The sequence below is a fragment of the Homo sapiens genome, chromosome 5, assembly GCF_000001405.40.
Source record: "Homo sapiens chromosome 5, GRCh38.p14 Primary Assembly".
Classification (NCBI taxonomy): domain Eukaryota; kingdom Metazoa; phylum Chordata; class Mammalia; order Primates; family Hominidae; genus Homo; species Homo sapiens.
Window position 1 is genome coordinate 69,801,670 of NC_000005.10, and position 21,298 is coordinate 69,822,967.

General features: G+C 37.5%; 1 long non-coding RNA gene across 2 annotated transcripts in view; it reads right to left on the reverse strand.

Annotated features, from left to right (window-relative positions):
- Positions 1-7,517: 7,517 nt before the first annotated feature.
- The window catches only part of LOC105379623 (uncharacterized), a 35,178-nt gene continuing 21,397 nt past the window's right edge, over positions 7,518-21,298 (reverse strand). For both annotated transcript variants that reach the window (XR_001742419.2, XR_001742418.2), the window contains exon 5: positions 7,518-7,643. This is a non-coding gene — a long non-coding RNA (uncharacterized LOC105379623). The remainder of the gene's footprint in view (positions 7,644-21,298) is intronic.

Consider the following 21,298-nt stretch of genomic DNA (forward strand, 5'->3'; position numbering starts at 1 on the left):
TATACCCAAAGGATTATAAATCATGCTGCTATAAAGACACATGCACACATATGTTTATTGCGGCACTATTCACAATAGCAAAGACTTGGAACCAACCCAAATGTCCATCCATGATAGACTGGATTAAGAAAATGTGGCACATATACACCATGGGAATACTATGCAGACATAAAAATGTATGAGTTCATGTCCGCTGTAGGGACATGGATGAAGCTGGATATGCCAATTATTATTAAAATAATTTTTGGGTTAAGCTGATTTTTACTTTTCTGAAAGAAAGATCCAAACACAATGCCTATAATAAATCTTAGAAATTGTCTGTCTCCATTGGTGAGATTAGTCAGTATAAACACTAACATATATAAATAAAACCAAACAACAGTTACTCTTTTCCATAATGTTATGCTTTTGTGTTCAATGAAATATTTAATTTAATTACTAAATTTCTAGCATTTCTCTGAAGGATAAAACAAATAAGCAAACAAACAAATTAACAAGAAAAAACCAAAATAACTTCAATGAATTAAAACTGTCTAGTGCTACCTTTCCTATAATTATCGTCACCAAATAAAGTGCCTATTGGACAGAGATGGCTGGTTCACCGCAATCTCCACTGACCCTTTCGCCATCAGTAAAAATGTCCTCTAATGCTTAGCCGGACACATGATCACCAGGAATAAATGCTATATTCCCAATCTTTTCTTAACATAGGGCATGACACATGTGACCAATTTCTGACCTATGTTGTGTAAGGGGAAGTAACGCGTGTAACTTCTGAGAAGCTGACTTATATGCAGGGGGCATGTCCTATCTCTGTGCTTTCTTCCTTCTTGGAAAGGCAGCTCTGATGGCTAGATCTGGGGCAGCCATGGGGCAACATGACAAGCAGCAGTACTTGGAGGTGCAAAGCAACAAGATAATAGCCATCTGGATTTCTGATGATCATGAAGACATCATATCTGAACTGGGGTGTCTGCATATCCCTGAGAGGCAAAAAATGTCTATATTGTTTCCGTGAGTTCTTAGCCTACACTGCACATACGAGTTATCAGAGAACTTTCAAAATTTATCAAATGCCCAGTCCTATTAAGGTATCTGGAAACTTATTCTTGGCCTATAATTTTCCACTGGGTCAACTATAACCCAGGTTTATCTGTCTTCTATATCCAGAGACTGTACCCTGCTCCTATGCAGTCTTGCTCTCTCCATAGCTTCATATGTGCAGCAGAACTCACCCTCTGCCTTCCATAACCAGGAGTGGGGCGCTACCTTCCCTCACCTGACTCCTGTGCTGCAGAAACTTGCTAAGAAACACGGAGCATATGTTTCAGACTCAGAATAAAATTATTTTTACAGTCACCAAGTTTTAGAGGTTCTGATTTAGTGTATCTGGGTGTGTCCAGGGTACCAGTGTGCTCCCTTCTCACTCAAATGAAAATTACTGGAACATGATGTTATTTGGTATTCAGTTACACAAAGCTGAGTGTAACTGATTGGTTAATAGTAAAAGTTTTGATTTCAGTAAAATAGTTGAATTATTCTAAACCATAACTTTGTAGCTACATGATTTGGGTGAGATGATTTTTTTTTTTTTTTTTTTGAGAAGGACTCTCACTCTGTCACCCAGACTAGAGGGCAGTGGTGTGATCTTGGCTCACTGCAACCTCCTCCTCATGGGTTCAAGTGATTCTCCTGCCTCAGCCCCCCGAGTAGCTGGGATTACAGGTGTGCACCACCATGCCGGACCGGTTTTGTACTTTAGTAGAGATGAGGTTTCACCATGTTGGCCAGGCTGGTCTCAAACTCCTGATCTCAGGCGATCCACCTGCTTTGGACCCCCAAAGTGCTGGGATTACATGAGTTAGCCACCACACCCTGCCTGAGATGATGTTTTTGAGCCACAGTATTCCCATCAGTAAACCGGACATACTAATTGTAATTTCAGGTATTTTTGTGACACATATATTGTTGAAATTATTATTATTAAATTACTGACTTTAATAATACATTCTTAAATTAGTTATTATTATAATAACATAATTAATATTGAAAGCAGTTTATAAACTTGCGTGGTGCTAGGGGGCACTACAATGTAAAGGAATTTATGTAATAAAAGTAAAGATGCAACGTTTGATTTTATTTTTCATGTTTTGTAATGCAAAAATTAACTGTCCTTTTATTTAAATTACAGCACATGCAAATTAACTTTTAGGTATATAATTATTCTGAATTATTTCAGAAAACTATTATGGTCTCATCACTGGATTAAAAAATGTAATAATATTCTCAGTTTAAAGAAAATGCACAGGTTTTAAATCCTCTGTGATAAGGGCCCATGAACTTGGAGCTGCTGATTTTTTTTTTTTTAATTTGCAGGGTTTTTACATAACAAATTATCAGAAACCAAAGCACCCAGATATCAGACTATGAATAGAAAACATCTTTCCTGAACAAATACAGGCTTTATTACTTAATTGTATTTACACTGATGAGTGCACACAAAGAAAAATCAATTTGTGGGAGTTTATTTCATTGGTATTGAAATTGTATCTTCCTTGAAAAACTTGGCACACAGTGCCTAGTTTGTCTCCCAGTTCATTATATTATTATTTTACTATATTCTGTGCTGTTATGTAGTTTTATATGGGCTCACTAGTTGAGTGTTCAAAATTGCTTTTCTGAACTATAGAATATTAACTTCCAGTATTTACCAAAAAAATGTTATTTATTAAAAAAATCACAATAAAAGGGCATAAAATAAATATAAATACTCAACATTTTCAAGGTTCTTGTGGAATCATTCTGAAAGCATTAAAAGGAGAGGCTGGAAATCTGCGTTTATAATATTGGTCATTTCCCTACCTACTTAATAGTAACATTAAAGCTTCCTCAGTATGCTTTCTGAAACAAGTAAAAATGTTCTTTTACCTTAACTTATACTGTGGAAAATCTCAAAGGAATGCTAGAAAACCATTCCAATGTACTCACCCAAACAACACAAAATACCCACACCTTCTCCAATTCAAACAATCATTTAATTAATCGAAAGAGCTGAGATGCACTCCCTCTCTACCTCATAAGGGCTTCCATCATGAACTTGATTGTGTCCTAAATTCAGTCCTCCAGGAGAAGCTCATCACCCTCCCCATGTCCTGAATGTCAGAATCCAAAGCTGGAAACTGCATCCTACTTAATCTTTATGTTTTTTGAAAAAGTTTATCTTTCTTCCCGGGAATAAAAACATCTATTCTCTGAGGCACATGTAAGCATTTATCCTTCAGTATAATGAACTTTTTTAGTCATATTGTTAATGACAAGCTTACATAAATTTTTTTCTGCTCCCACCTTCAAAGCTCCAAGCCCTGTATTCTTACAGGATGATATTCATAAACTATTCGACCTTAGCTTCCCTCCACTTAAGCCTTTCTTGCTCAGAATCACTCCTTTTATTAGTTATCTGTTGATGCTTAACATATTACCTCCAAAACTTAGTGGATTAAAACAACAAACATTCATTATGCCAACTTCTCTGGGTCAGGAACTATATCAGAATTAGTAAGGCCCTCTAGCTCAAGGACTCTCATAAGGCTGCCATCATTTAAAAGCCTTACTTAGGGAAGATTCACTTCTAAGATTAATCATGTGGCTGGGGGCAGTCCCCAGGTCCTTCCTTGCTGGCTGTGACTGGTGACACTGGCTCCGTGCTATGTGGACTTCTTAATAGGCAGCGCCCAACATAGAAGTCAGCTTCCCTTACAATGAAAGAGAGAGAGAGGATTCCCAAGACAGAAGCCACAGTCTTTGTGCAATCTAATGTTGGAAGTGATATCCATCACTTCTGCCACAGTCTATTTGATAGTGAAGTGAGATAAATTCAACTAGGACAACAGAGTAGAAGATTCCTCAAGGAGTTACCTCTACCAGGGGTACAAGTGACATGGAGCAATTTTAGAGGCTGCTTACCAAACCCATGAAATGTATAATGACAAAACATGATATTCCTCTTAAATGACTAAATAAGCACACCACTCTTTGATCAATCTCCTGTCTGTTCAGTGTGGCAACAATTCCCACTGCAGCTGTTCTCCTGCCTCACTAGGACTTTCAATCCACTGGTGCCTCAGCCTTTGCCTATAGCATTATGATCCTCCTGCGGTCAGTTACTCCCACAAGCAAACTAACAATGGCTCTTCTCAACACTGGCTTTATGTTAGAATTGCCTGAGGAGGTTCCAAAGATACATATGAGTGCCTTGGCCCCAATTGAGATTGGCTGACCCAGTGTCTCTGGGACCTGGCATTCTATTATGATACTAATATGCAGCAATAGTTGGGAATCGATATTGTAGATTCAATTACTGAATATTTTAAAATGTAATTGCCAGTAACATAAAACCAGAATTGACATACTGCTTCCCTTGGGCTAAATACAATCCATCACCTATTTTTTAAATAAATTCTTATTGGAACGCAGCCACATTTTCTTATTGTCCATGGTTGCTTTTGCAGAACATGGGAGAACTGAGTACTTCCTACAGAGACAATATGGCTCACAAAATAAAAATATTTACTATCTGGCCCTTTGCTTAAAAAAAATTAATGAGTTTTGACCTATCCCCTTTCACATCTTCATTTTTCTCTCTCTCTTTCTCCCTCTCTCTCTCTCTCCCTCGGTTGCTTTTGGTTTTGTCCTTTTTAGAAGCACATTGCAACCTCTTCTCTAGATGAACTCAACTATCTGATTTCTGCATATTTCTCAGTCCATGACTGCTGCTGAAGAATGCCATGCAAGAAAACAAACTGATAATATTTTAAGACAATGATCACCATTGGAAACCGGGTTTTCAATTGTGCCTGACATAACTTTTTCAATCTCTACAATCCTCTAATTTCTGACACTCTCTTCTCCCTTCTCACTTCTCTCTCTCTGCAGATGACTTTGCTACTGCAACACAGAGAAAATATAAGTCTTTATACTCATAGTCTTTCAACTACCTGGCACTAAATCAATATACCTGTCTCCATTTGCAACTATTATCTTTCTCCCTGATCCTGTCAAGATGATCTTACTCTTTGTTGTAGGCTACTTTCCTCCTCTGACTTCAGAATTAGTTCTCACCTGACATTAAGAGGAAATTTACATTGTTACCAATTTCTCTACTGAAAATCCAACTTTTTATTTCCACGTAGATGCTTCCCATCGTGGTTTCCATGGACTTTATTGTCTCAATGATTGTCATTTTAGATCTATAACTCTTTTTCTGAGCTTTGGGTCTATATAAGCCAAATTTCTGCTCAACGGAGCAACCATATCCCCACTTTAATTGGACAAGTCTCTCCAGAAAATAAATCTCCTATTTCCTGTTGTGTTAAATGAAGAATAATTACTAAGGTATTCAGTAATGATAAAGAATCTGGGAATTTAACTGTTCTTGATATGAAATTTCAAACTACACACTTTTTTTTTTTTGGGAAGCCAAACCCACCTCCAGCATTTTATTCCCACACATGATAAGCTTGTCCAAGGTGTGTGTGGTTTGGATGACTTTATATTTTGTTAGCTTTCCTCTTCCCTCTACATATGGACACTATGTTTTGTCAAAAGGAAACGTGTACACTGGTTGCTTGTTAAAAATAGCAAGGAAGACTATTCAGGACTATAGCAATGGGGGAATAATATAGCTATAGTAGAGAGAGATTGAACTAAAATTTCTCCCAGCATGGAGCTGGAAATTTATAAGCAAAGAGCTGAGGGAGTGAGTCAGTGGATAGAAACTAATTAGATATTAAGGGTGGCGGGGGGTGGGGTGGCGGGGAGCGGGGTTCTTGCTAAACTGCATTATTGCTAAAGGCATGCCAAAGTGATAAGATATCCAGGGCGAAGTGATTCTCAGTGAACTGGCTTAGCAGGCGTCTTTGTTAAACTGGGCCTGAGAAGAGGGACTGGAGAAGAATGATTAAACTTTGGTCAAGATGGGAATCTGTCAGTTTTGGCCTTCTCTAATCTATGTGGTTACGCTGCTCGAGAGCTTGCTAAGATGTATTCAAGAAGGCTAGTGTATTAGCTTGTTCTCACACTGCTGCTATAAAGAAACACTTGAGATGGGGTAATTTATAAAGCAAAGAAGTTTAATTGGCTCGCAGTTCTGCAGGCTGAACAGGAAGCATAGCAGCATCTGCTTCTGGGGAGGCTAAAGGGAGATTTTACTCATGGCAGAAGGCAAAGTGGAAGCACGAATCTTGCGAGGCAGAAGCAGGACTGAGAGGAAGAGAAAAGGTGCCACACACTTTCACCAACCATATCTCATGAGGATGCTATCATGATACAGCATCAAAGGGGGAAATCTGCCCCCATGATCCAGTCACCTCCCACAAGACCCCACCTCCAACACTGGGGATTACAATTCGGCATGAGATTTGGTAAGGGACACAGATCCAAATCATATCAGCTAGTAATAAAGTGTATTAAGATTTAGGAGTTGATATGGTTTGGCTGTGTCCCCACTCAAAATCTCATGGTGAATTGTAAACCCCATAATCCCCACATGTCAAGGGAGAGACCAGGTGGAGGTAATTGAATCATGGAGGTGGTTTCTCCCAAGCTGTTCTCATGACAGTGAGTGAGTTCTCTCGAGATCTAATGGTTTTACAACTGTTCGGCAAGTTCCTCCTCCCATCCTTCTTTTTCCTGCCATTTTGTGAAGAAAGTGCCTGCCTCCCTTTCACCTTCCACTACGATTGTAAGTTTCCTGAGGCCTCCCCAGTCATAGGGAACTGTGAGTCAATTAAACCTCTTTCTTTTATAAATTACTCAGTCTCAGGTATTTTCATATAGGAATGTGAGAAAGGACTAATACAGGAATCTTCAAGGACATCCCATCCAAATTAAAAGTTGTGTATCACTTGCTTCTTTGACCTCATCTACTGTATTAATTACATTTATATGTATATACACACACACACACACACACACACATATGCAAACATATATATATATCAGCTTTACTAAATGGTCTCTATATTCTCAGTTTTATTGTTTCATTAGGAAAAGAAATTGGCTGGGATATTGGTAACAGTATATTTCTGCTTATGCTGTAATACCCAAGTTGAAACATTTGATAGAAATTGATTGATGCTTGTTACCTGATGTTTTAAAATAAGGGCTAAATAGTTATATATCTCAATATTATCGTTATCCTGGATGTGACAGGGTACAGATGTGACAATGCATGTTTTTATAGTGTGTTCTACTGGTGATTCAAATAACTAAGGTATTGCCACTGGCAACATAATTTTTGTAAATATTGAAAGACTCTGGGAAGTTTCTACAATAAAAAGACTTTTTCTCTTCAATTTCCGTAGTGGTTGCATTCTGAAAAATTTAGTTTGTATTAAGCCATTCAAAGTATTTACATGTAAAATATTCATTTCTTGACTAAATAATTACAGATGATCACTTACGTGGCTATCCATTGGGGCATTTGATGGGAATATTTTTTACAATGTAGGATCGCAGGATATCTAGTATTGTTTGTCCTCACATTGGAAATACAATTACTGCCTTCTGATCGTTTTGACAATGGAGACACTCAAGCATTTCTAAACAGAAAAAGCTGGTACAAGCACACTTGAAGCACAATACATCTGAAAGGCACATGAAGAGTTCAATAAAATGTTTAACAACTGAAAAGACTGCAGAAATAAATTTAAGTATTCTGTCTACACTAAAATCCAAATGTAAATTATATTAGAGTTGCAGCTATTTAATACGCTATTTCAGCATTCACATGCTATTTTCTTTTTCTATTCAGATGTTTTTTCCACTGCCAGACACTTTCTAACAAGTCCTTCAAACCCTCTTTATAATAACTTATGAAAATATTTGTTACATTATGCTCAATGATTTCCTCAATTAAAATGATATATAAAATAAGAACAAGTGAGAGGAAAAAAACATAGTTTGTGCATCTGTTTTGTGATAAATATAGTAGTTAGATCTATTTTATATAAGTTTTCTCATTAAACCCACATCAAACTTTTTCTCCTGTATTTTTTAAATGGAAAATGTGAGGTTGATAGGAGTTAATTAACTCTACTAATAGCTGACGGAAATGAAACTATCATTACTGAGAACTATGGTTGGTTTTTACAATTATTTCATTTTTTGTTGGTTTGTTTTTGTTTTTGTTTTTTGAGATGGAGTTTCGTTCTTGTTGCCCAAGCTGGAGTGCAATGGCGTGATCTCAGCTCACTGCAACCTCTGCCTCTTGGATTCCAGTGATTCTCCTGCCTCAGCCTCCTGAGTAGCTGGGATTACAGGCACGTGCCACCACGCCCAGCTAATTTTGTATTTTTGGTAGAAATGGGGTTTCTCCATGTTTGTCAGGCTGGTCTCGAACTCCCAACCTCAGGTGATCCACCCACCTCCGCCTCCTAACGTGCTGGGATTACGGGTATGAACCAGCATGCCCGGCCAATCTATATCTTTTAAGTGTGAAATGCTTTCAGAAAAATATTTCAACCAAAAGGGAGAAATGTGGAAGTTGTGAGCACCAAAATGGAGTCACTTACATCAAACCATAAAAAAATGAAGCTGGGAGGCCATGAAAGAGGGGCCTTCATGTACATATGTCTATAATAAGAACTGCTGCAATGGTTCTCTCAAAAACCACGAAAATGTTAGATATGATAATTCTATGAAGACATCTCTCCAGCAACAGCCAATATTATCAATGAGTATTTGCCAACTCTTGTAACAAGCTTCTCTGGCCCATGAGGTTTATTACAAAACTTACATAAAATTTCTCTTTTAAGATTTTTGCCTTCCTGATATGGTTTAGATTTGTGTCCCCACCCAAATCTCATGTCGAATTGTAATCCCCAATGTTGGAGGAGGGGCTTGGTGAGAGGCGATTGGATCATGGGGGTGGATTTCCTCCTTGCTGTTCTTGTGATAGTGAGTTCTCATGAGACCTGCTTGTTGAAAAGTGTGTGGTATTTCCCCTTTGCCCTCTTCCCCCTGCTTCGGCCATGTAAGACGTGCCTCCTTCCTTTTTGCCTTCTGCCATCATTGTAAGTTTCCTGAGGCCTCCTCCAATCATGTTTCCTGTACAGCCTATGAAATCATGAGTCAATTAAACCTCTTTTCTTTATAAATTACCAAGTCTCAGGTAGTTCTTTGTGCTAGAACAAACTAATACAGTCCCTCAGCTTCTTTGGTGCCTAAGGTCCACCATAGCATGTGTATTTCAAATTGCAATTTACTGCTATTTCCTGAATACACTCCACTCTTTATTTTAGAGAGTCAGTATCTCTGTTGTTTAAGTTGACATAATCTAATGTCAGAAGCAAGATGCAAAGGCTCCAAGCCTTCTTTGTTACTTACAGTTACAGCACTGTTATCCAAACAGTAACAAAGAAAGCCTTTGGAAGGCTTTCAAGTATCTGGCGATACTTGAAATTGTGTATGATACTCACCTGAGCCTATTGTGATCTTCACTTGTACAAGTTGTCTTTATGCTGCGAGATAAGTCCTCTCTTGGTTTGAGCTCCCACCTTTTCAGTGAACTCTTACATTTTGGGGGATCTGCTCTTGTAAAGGACATCCTTTCTGGTGAGTATTCTTTTGGTTTAATTTTTGGTTTGGTTATTTGTGCATGAATTTAATCTCATTAGGAAACAAGTTAAGTTGAATAGACCAACTAGTGAATTAATCCGTCTCCAAAATATATGTTTTTGGCATTTACCTGTTTATTTTGAAACTCTTTGTAAGAAATGTAAACCTGTAATGATAATCTCTGCTTTGTAAGGATATCTCCCTCTCTGACACCTAAAACACTAGATGCTTTCACAAAGCAAAAGGAAGAGACCTAAATCTATCTATCTGTGTAAACTCACCCTTGACCATTTCATTCTGAAGGCTTCCTATATATGCTTTTTTTCATCTCAACAAATAGTGGTGTTTAAGTTCTGTACCTTTGAGATTTAAATTTTCTACATTCCTTCACCTAAAAATCATCTCTTTGGAAGTACAAATTTTGGGTGGCCTAACTAACACTTGTTTATGGGCCAATTGAACAGATCATTAAAAGACAGATAGTCTGAAAGAGGGAGTAAAACTACTTGCAAGCCAGGCAAATAACAATTCTTAATGCAAGTTGTAAGTTCTTCCTCTGTCTGTATTTTTCTACGTGTGTGTGTGTGTGTGTGCGTATGTACAATTTTTTCTACCAAAATTCATAAACGGCTCTACTTAATTGGCTTACAGAGAAAACATAAGTGTTTAAACTAAGAATTCTCTCAGAAAAACAGAAACTCAATTGCCTTTTGGCTTATGTGATGAAATAATCTTTGGCAGACAAAGCTAGTTTTAAAATTTGTTGGCAAAATAAAAACAAATATTTTCAGAATTGTCAGCATTAATTACAATGTACAGATACAGTTTTTAAACCTAAAGTTACTGGTGAAACAAGCTTGCTATTACTGAGATGTATAATGAATGTCTTAAAGCTATAAATCCACTCATCGTTGTGTTTAAGGAGGAACTGAAGCACAATTGTTAAGAACAAGTGAATTAGGTGAATATACATTGACAAAAGGTTGATAATAAAGTTGTCAGAATTTCAAAAATAATTTAGTGTGACTTGAAATCTTAAAATCATGTTATATTAAATTAAGTAACACTTTACTGATTTAATATTTGAGTCATTTCTAAGGAAAATACTGAAATATCAATTGCTTAACAGAAGTTTAAAATATACGTAATTTGGCATCTTGGTTTCACATGTTATGGAAAAGCTAAACATATTTGGGCCTGTTAATTAAAGGCATAAAAATTATTTTATGAGATGGTGTTCATCTGCAAAATACTAACATGATGCACTTCAAAATGCTTACTAATTTTCACTAGAAATTAAGGTTACTAAGAGTTAATTAAAATTAATATTAGAGTAATTTAAACTAGAAATAATGAAGGGAAACAAATCTGTACGCGAGGGAAGGAAAACACATAAAGAAAGTTATAAGTAAGAGGTTGTGTTTTTGTTAAGGGAAAAAGAGAGTATTTTTTGTCTAAAAGTAGAATGTCTTACTGTTCCAAAAAGAAAAAGAGAAAAAATATAGACAAAAACTGAATAAGATAACTGGATGACAAATTTATAGAAAGTTTGTGGAAGATTAATCTTGTGAAAAGAATTTTATGTGTGACCAAGTTGGCTAAAGTTAAAAGGAAATTATTTATAAATATTCTGAAAACTTGAGCATTATTATCAAAAGTACAGGAATGGAAAACTTGAAATTTGTCCCCTGTGCTGAAACAACAAGCTTTTCTTTGAGTATTGACCTGCTCTTAATAGAAAATAGTGAAATGTTTTCTCTACCTTTTAGATAACTGGCCTAATAAACCAAGATTTTTTGTTTATCAAGGTAATTTCTTATGCTTTATGCTCTCTTTTACTAGGTCTTTGATTACTTGAGAAAAGTGAGTGAGGTGGGGCCAAGATGGTTGACTAGAAGCAGCTAGTGTGTGCCACTCTCACAAATAGCAGAAAGAGTGGTGAGACACTAGCTCTTCAACCGGAACATCCAGGTGGACACATAAGGATTCATCAGTGACATAGTGTGACCTTCGGATCACGGAGAAGAGTGAGACAGATCAGCCATTCACCCAGGAGTGGCACAGACCCAGGGGAATCCCCCTACAAGAAAATGGTGAGTGAGTGAGAGTCCCGTGGGATGCATATTTCTGCCACGAACCTTTGAATCCCTGGGCTCAGGAGATACCCCAGCTGGGGTCTCCAGACCAAAACAGAGAGCCATGTGGAGTCTGGGTAGAGCTGCTTCTTAGGTAGGTGTGGAGTTCCAGTAGCATTTGTTCCCTGGGTACCCCAAAACCAGGGGCTGCAGCTCCAGCAATTGGGAAGGCCAAGTTTTCTTGCACGCTCCCCAGAAAAGGGGCCAAGTCCATGGGGCTGAGCAGTGATAGACTGCAGACCTCACCACCACTGAACCTTGTAGGATAAGGCCCACTAGCCTGGGATGCTAGTGAGGCCACCCTAGTCCTCCTGAGTTCTCCAGCTGGGAGCAGCTCTACACTTCTCCGGCATGCAGCTTCCAAAGAGAGAGGCAGTCCACCTTTTTGCTGTCTCGCAACCCTCCCTCCTGCTGCTCTCAGGCTTGGGAGGGTGCACAGCAATTAGGGACTATCACAGAACCCCAGCACAGTGCATCTGGTGAACTTAAAAAAGTCAACAAGTGAAAAACAAACAATCCCATTTAAACGTACACAAAGTACATGAACGGACACTTTCAAAGGAGGGCATACATGTGGCCAGAAAGCATATGACAAAATGCTCAACATCACTAATCATTAGAGAAATGCAAATCAAAACCACAATGAGATACCATCTCACACCAATGAGAATGGCTATTATTAAAAACTCAAAAAATAAGAGATGCTAGTGAGGTTGTGGAGAAAAGGGAATGATTATACAGTGATGGTGGGAATGTAAGGTAGTTCAGCCATTGTGGAAAGCAGTGTGGCCATTTCTCAAAGAACTCAAAGCAGAAGTGCCATTCAACTCATCAATCCTACTATTGAGTATATACCAAAAGAAATACAAATCATTCTACCATAAAGACACATGCACGTGTATGTTCATTGCAGCACTTTTCACAATAGCAAAGACATGGAATCAACCTAAATGCCCATCAGTGGATGAAGAAATGTGGTAGATATACAACATGGAATACTATGCAGCCATAAAAAGAATGAGATCATCTCTTTTCCAGCAACATGAGTGGAGCTGGAGGCCATTATCCTAGAAAACCCAATACCATATGTTCTCACTTATAAGGGGAGCTAAACATTGAGTACATATGGACACAAATGGAACAACAGACACTGGGCCTACTTTAGAGTGGAGGGAGGAAGGAGGATGAAAATTTAAAAATTACCTACTGGGTACTATGCTTATTATCTGGGTTATGAAATAATCTATACACCAAACCCCGTGACACACAATTTACCCATATAAATGCGTAAGTAACCCACATGTGTACCCCTGAACCTAAAATAAAAGTTAAAAAAAGAGAAAAGTAAATGTTCTCAGTATTAAAAAGCTATGTTTTTGTTGACAATTATGTAAATTTCTACATTTATTTTTTGAAATCTTTTAATTTTCATTTTGGTTACCTGTTATCGTACTCTGATAAAGTGTTTTAAACTGTTTGATGTTTTTGACAAACTTCCCAAAATAATATTTTAAATTAACTCTTTTTGCCCTCAAGTTAATTTTGATATTTCTCATTTGGACCCCTGGAAAGATCAAAGAATGTGTATCTCACATTGTAAAGAGATATATTAAACTAATGAGACTTACTTGATATATTAAATTATATAGGGAGTATTGTCAAATACTAAGTGGTGCTAAACCTTCTTTAAGTTGTATTTCAGAATGTTATTGATATGTGTTACAAAATTATATTGAATTCTTCAAAATCTGATATGTTATCGGTCATAATCTTGGTTATTATCTTCAAGTTTTGTATGCCACAGAAATAAACAAATTTCTTTGTCAATTACATTATTATTATAATAAACTCCATGAGATTTTTAACCATGGCCACTCTAGGTCTGTCATCCACAGGGACCGACTGCTTTCATTCTTTTCCAAAAGCATTTGCCATCAGCTACAATAAAAAATTGCTTCTTCTCTGAAACTGATGACCCATTAAGGTTTAACCCATATACTCCTCTATATACCTCTACAGCCTCCCCAAATCAAGTTGATATATTCCCCTAGCAGTCTGTGCAATGGAGACCAACACTACATTCTTTTAGATTGTTTTAAATTACATTTTTGAACTTCCAGTTTATTACATACCAAGAGTTGATTACAACCTCCTTGTTTCATAAGTGGAAGCTATGTTAGGGTTGGATGTGGGTGCCATAATTTCTTCAAGGATCCTGGACAGAGACCCACATCAGGATCAGAAACCCTACGATAGCATTGCAGATCTCATGGCTCAATAATCCTTGAAGATTATAATTTTCATCCTACTATCAGTTGCACTTTCTGTCACTTTTACTGCATTAAGTCTCCCGGTATCAAACAGAGCTCTGTGGTGTCACTGACTGAGGAATGGAATAGAGATGTCCACAAGGGGTCTTGATATCATGACTGCACAGAGATGTGAAAGGAGAGACCACTTCCTCACCACCCAGCTACTTCACTTCTCTCCCGGTATCAGCCCTATAGTCGGACCTAGGCTTTCAGAAGTGTAAGTGTGCAAACAAGTTTCGGTTGGACTTTAAGAGGACACTTTGTCATAGAAGAAAATCCAGTATCTCTAAGCTGGTTTTCTTTTCAGGAAAACATCCTGAGGGACCAGTAAGCAGGGAGATCCTTTTTCTAGTTTGCCTGTAGAGTTAGGAAGACAGTTGATTTTTCAGTCTTTTACAGGATGCTTAAACAAAGCTGTGTAATTACATAAGGTGGATCTTTATCTTACCTAAGAAGATAAAGTGGGAATCTTCACTCCGCCAGGGCAAATTTCCAAGGAGCTCATTTATTCCATGTCTTTCAAACTTTCATGAGATACATTTCTCTTTCACATTGTTGCTGATTTCCAAACAGCTGTCAGCTAGTTTTTTCCTCCCCCTTTCCTATTCTTCACTATTTTGATAGCAAAGCTCATAGAATTAGAGGACTTAGAAGATGCTTTGTAAACATTGCCACAAAGGAACTGCTGAAATGATTCACAGGAAGACTGGTCAGTTGGGAGAAAGATCCTAAAGATGTTACACTGGTTTTCAACAACATGCTTAGAGAATTCTTGAAGCAGATAGGTGTCAACCCAGTGAAAACAACATTTTGATTTATTTTTTTTTTAAGTTTATGGTGATTGTGTCGGTTTCTAAAATAAGCAAATATTCAAGTCAAGAGATGTTTTGTTTTTTCTTCTGCCAAGAATGGGGTTAGGGGAGCAAAGACACAATTTGGGAAAGGACATATGTGCTATTATAGGGATCACCTTTAAGTTTCTGGGAAGGAATGGGCACGGGTGAGTAGGTTGGCTCAACATTGTCCTGCACTGCTTATTAGGACCTGAGACATGCAAGGGAAATGTGGGTGACATCAGGGCACCCAGGGCACAGCCCCACTAACTGCTGTGCTGAGTTTCTGTAGCCTGCCACGTTTCCCTTGGTGAAGTAAATGAAGATCAAGGAGTCATTTTATGATGTCCTGGTGCTGAGAATAATAAATGTCTTGTTACAAACAGATGTAACAATGGTTTTTTTCTGGATTATTATCAGGGTGGTCAGCTCTGGGTTAAGCACCCACATCCAATTTGTACAATAATATTGATACATAGGGCTACGCTTATTACTGCTCAAGCATTCTGTTTTAATAATTGTGTTTTACTTCTAAAGGTTAAATAAAAGCAAAAAATGGGGCTAAACTATCAAACTGTTCCCCTATTTGTTTTCTCCAGTGTACAACATATATATGTATATATTTTATTTTATTGAAGATGCAGTAGGATACCTGCCATTTAAGAAAATAAATAGAAAATTTAAAATCCCAACAAATGAGAAAAAGAAATTCAGTACCCAAGAATAGGGCTGGTCCAGCACCACCCCGAAGTAGGCTGTGGTTTATGGACTGAAGAGCCTTGCTCCCTTTACATTCGCTCATGCTCCCACACAAGGCTAGCAGTAGAAATGCTTGAATTCTGCTTGGCTTGCCAAGGGGACTCAGGAGTCAACCAAGGGAACTATTTGGCTCCACGAGGAATGGACACCTCAGGATGCTTCCTGAACAGGGCCTAGTCAGGAAGTAGCCTGGATGTGCATAGTCATGGTCACCTTATGAAAATGTGTGGCAGGTGGCTCTCAGGAAAAACACCAAGCCTGGATCATCTGTGTGGCAGCTTTGCCTGGGGAGGTAACAGCTCCAAATTGAAACTGAACTGCATCCTACATGCTTTACCAAAGCAGTGATGAGAGTGATCAGTGCATGTGGTGTGAGTGGTAGGTTTAAAAAAAAGGGAATGTTTTACGCTCAGTGTTTCCTCTGTCTTTGGGCTACTCAATCTGGACAATAGGTAACCATTCTTTTCAAGGAATCAACCCAACTTTGCTGGCTTGGTTTGTGGTTTGTTTCATCCCTAGCTATGAGCATGCTTTGGTCTATAAACGTGGCTTGTCTCATAATACATTCCCTTTCTGTAATTTTTTAAATTTTTTATTTCCATAGGTTTTTGGAGAACATGAGGTATTTGGTTACATGAGTAAGTTCTTTAGTGGTGATTTGTGAGATTTTGGTGCACACATCACCCGAGCAGTATACACTGAACTCAATTTGTAGTCTTTTACCCCTCATGCCTTTCCCACTCTTTCCCTTGAGTCCCCAAAGTCCACTGTATCATTCTTATGCCTTTGCATCTGCATAGCTTAGCTCCCACTTAAGAGTGAGAACATGCAATGTTTGGTTTTCCATTCCTGAGATACTTCACTTAGAATAATAGTCTCCAATCCCATCCAGGTTATTATGAATGCCATTAATTCATTCCTTTTTATGGCTGAATAGTATTCCATCACATATATGTATTTATGCATATATATATATATACATATGCATATATATATACATATACATACACACACACACACACACACACACACATAAATATATACCACAGTTTATTCACTCATTGATTCACGGGCATTTAGGCTGGTTCCACATTTTTGCAATTGCTAATTGTGCTGTTATAAACGTGCATGTGCAAGTATCTTTTTTGTGTAATGACTTCTTTTCCTCTGGGTAGATAACCAGTAAGATTGCTGGATCAAATGGTAGTTCTACTTTTATGAATTGTCCTTGTTTTTCTTTAAAAGTTAATACTTTTGATCACTATAGTTTGTTAGTGTTGGATTGTTTCCACTTTGAAATTTCTAAACTTTTCCCCTTCATAATGTTAAAACAAGTTATGTTAGATGCCCTTTCAACATGAAAGGTCTGTAGTTAAGATATTACATATATTTTATTGTTTATAATAAAAATCTAGACATAAGAAGTGCCAAGTGTTAATTATAATATTTTGCACAGTATCTTTTTTCCCATGATGTGTTAATATCTACAATTTCATTAAATGTTGATGTTATTCTCTATTGAGATTCAGAAGCCTAGGGAGCTATGTGTTCATTTTGGTTATTTTTGTTGTTATTTCCCTGAAGCAAAAGACTACATGGCCTTCAGTGCAACAACCTCAGTCCAATTCTGAAGTTTATTATACTTGCTTGCCTCTTGGCTATTTAACTTCTGAGTGCAAATCATTGAACTCCCTAATGAAGTATTGTAGAGAATAAATTAAAATGAATAAAGAAAAATACTTCCTCTTCAAGGAGGTTCATGAAAAGGACTCTAGCAAGTATGCTGGAATTTAGATTTCTTATGAGTTTAAGATTATACCACTGGACTGGGAAAGAATTTCCAGGACTCTAATGAAGAAACGATGGCTTCTTAAAACATCTAACCCAGATCAAGTAGAATAAGTTTAATGAATGGGACTAAACAAACTGATGGCAATATTTTCGAGTGACTTTTTGCTTAACATTTTGCTGTTTTTTTTAAATTTTTTGTTTTCCAGATTTGAGAAAACTTTTAAAAAGCTATCTATAGCATACAGCAATTTGGTAAAGTATACTTTTATAAATAAAAATGGAAATATTTATTTTTTCTTCCTACCTGTGGCTGCAGTCTTCAGAGAGCTCTTATTGATATTTTTATTTTATGGCAACATAGTTATTTGCATTAATTCAATAAAAATCTATTCTCTTTGTAACAGGATAGAATTACAAACATTGGTTATATTATAAATGGTTTGACTTGAATGTGATATTTGAGACTATGCACAGGATGCCTAGCTTCAAGGATTCCCAAGCTCACAGTGAGTGAATAAACATTTTTACCTCTTGACAGGCCAGGAACCTCCAGATATATTGGAGACCTCAAGAAGAGAGAAATTCATGCAGATTTTTAGATACTGCAGCCAAAGTCTGATGTTCGCCCTCCTTTGACTTCTGACCCTTGAAAGGCTTTTAAAAGTCTAATCTGAGATTTCTTATCAAAAGTTCCATCAAAATAAACTTAAAAACAGCCCATGTTTCATCCCTTTTCTTGCTATACTGTTGTCAATAATCATGCCAAGTTTAATGAGACTAAACTTATTCAGCACACAATTTAGTCTTACTCTGATTATCTTTAGTAGAAATAGGGATGATTGTACAGAGAAAAATTATGTTTCTGAAGAAAAACTGCAGTACACCTGTTATTAGATTGTAGTTTTCTTTGTTGTTTTCAAGTTTTTGTCATCTATCTCTAAATTAGACAGGGCACTTAATTATTCTAATTTCCTCCAACGTCTGGCTACGATTCTCCAACTAAGAACATAAACTGCCTTTGTTCCTAAAGTCCTACAAGTTGGAGCCAGAAAACTCCATGTAAATTTCAAGAGAGAAATCTCATGGCTATTGTGTGGGCTACAAAGAGAATTGACTAAAATGCCCCATGCTATACCCAGGAACATTCAAACTACAAACCAGAGTAAGAAGTTGATGACATCACAGTGTGGAAAGCTTTTCCCAAGACATTGTAACAAAACTGGACTCTTATCCTTCTTATTTTTTTTTTCTTGCTTATGCCTACATTTTTCACTTGGCAGAATAACGCTGTGGTTAGAATTTCACATTCAGTAGCTTCCGTAACTGAATGAAGTTTTGGATCTGTCGTGTCAAACCCACATCTTTACATGACCTAAGGGATCCTTTAGTCCACCCAGTGGGTAACTATGGCAACATCCCTAATTTATTTGCCACCTTGGGTTTCATTGCAGGCTTCACCGCAAAGGCTATTGCCGCCCAGCAGTGCTCATTAAAGTATCTTGCTGAGTAGCCGTAGATAACACAACAGGACAGGATGAGATAACTCTCAATTATCTACTGGTTGAACAAGAATGTCTGTGCCATTGCTAATAACTACATGCTGTACCTGAATATATTTCTCTGGGGAAGTCAAGACCTAATTGCATAAAATAGCAAGACAGGCTTTATGGCTACAACAGATCTCACTCAGTCTCACATAGACTTTTGATTCATTAGTTGGCTGCCTTTGGGTCCATGTTCATAGACAATATTTCATGTTACTATTAATTTTGTACCGCATCATTCTTTTTAAACTTTTTATCTGTTTCCTGTCCAACCTCTGCAGAAATGATGCATCTAACAGAATAACACTGGTCCAGAACTTCCAAATGGTAGTCAATGCCTATGGAACTGACAAAATTGAACTTAGCAATGAACTCCAGGCAGATTTATCCTGAGAGCCACTCCTTCTGAACCTCTTTGTTTCTTAAATGTGACTAAAAGGGTTTTGACATCTGCTCTTAGTTGCTGGCCATTCACCTCTGATGCAGGATCAGACTGACTAGGAAAGGTCCACTCCAGCACCAAGAAACAATCAAAACCTAACTATAGGCTGATTAATCAGCAATGCTTTCAGAAAAAATTCTTGGTCAAAGGGGGGAAATGTTAAAGTTACAAGCAAAGAAGTTGACTCACTGAAGTCAAACCACAACAAAATGGAGCTGGGAGAGTATAAAAGAAGGCCCTTCATGCATGGATGTCTCTAAAAGAATTATTGCAAGGACTCCCTGAAAACTACAAAAATTTTAGATACGACGCTTCTATGAAGACATCTTCCCAGCAATAGCCAGTATCACCGATGAGTATTTGTCCATACCAAGCAATAAGCTTCTGGGGCCAAAGAGGTTTATTTTAAAATAATTTACATGAACTTCACCTTTTTTTTTCTTTATTTCTTCTTCTTCTTCAAAAAACAAACAAAAGTGATATATGTGCAGAACGTGCAGGTTTGTTACATAGGTATACGTATGCCATGGTGGTTTGCTACACTTTTCAACCTATCATCTAAGTTCCCTCCCCTCACCCCCCAACCTCCAACAGGCCCCAGCGTGTGTTGTTTCCTTCTCTGTGTCCATTTGTTCTCAATGTTCGAATCCCACTTACGAATAAGAACATGCGGTATTTGGTTTTCTGTTCCTGTGTTAGTTTGCTGAGGATGATGGCTTCCAGTTTCATCCATGTTTCTGCAAAGGACATGCTCTCATTCCTTTTTTATAGCTGCATAGTATTCCATGGTGTATGTGTACCACATTTTCTTTATCCAGTCTATCAGTGATGGGCATTTGGGTTGGGTCCATGTCTTTGCTATTGTAAATAGTGCTGCAATAAATATATATACGTATGTTCCCTTACAGTAGAATGATTTATATTCCTTTGGGTATATACCTAGTAATGGGATTGCTGGGTCAAAAGGTATTTCTAGTTCTAGATCCTTTGAGGAATGCCCATACTGTCTTCCACAATGGTTGAATTAATTCACTTTCCCACCAACAGTGTAAGAGCATTCCCATTTCTCCACATCCTCTCCAGTATTTATTGTTTCCTGACTTTTTAATAATCTCCATTCTAATTGGCGTGAAATGGCATCTCATTGTGGTTTTGATTTGCATTTCTCTGGTGATCAGTGATGTTGAGCTTCTTTTGTATGCTTTTTGGCCACGTAAATGTCTTTTTTTGAGACGTGTCTGTTCATATCCTTTGCCCACTTTTTGATAGCGTTGTTTGTCTTTTTCTTGTAAGCATGTTTAAGTCCCTTGTAAATTCTGGATATTCGATCATTGTCAGATGGGTAGATTGCAAAAATTTTTTCCCAGTCTGTAGGTTGCTTGTTCACTTTGATGATAGTTTTTTTTTTTTTTTTTTTTTTTGCTGTGCAGAAGCTCTTTAGTTTAATTAGATCCCATTGTCAATTTTGGCTTTTGTTGCAATTGCTTTTGGCATTTTTGTCATGAAGTCTTTGCCCACCATGCCTATGTCCTGAATGTTGTTGCCTAGGTTTTCTTCTAGGGTTTTTATGGTTTGGGGTTTTACATTTAAGTCTTTAATCCATCTTGAGTTAATTTTTGTATAAGGTGTAAGGAAGGGGTCCAGTTTCAGTTTCCTGCATATGGCTAGCCAGATTTCCCACATTATTACTGAATATGAGATCCTTTCCCATTGCTTGTTTTTGTCAGGTTTGTTGAAGATCAGGTGGTTGTAGACGTGTGGTGTATTTCTGAGGTCTATGTTCACCTTCATTGGTCTATATGTCTGTTTTGGTACCAGTTCCATGCTGTTTTGGTTACTGAGGCCCTGCAGTAATGAAGTCAGGTAG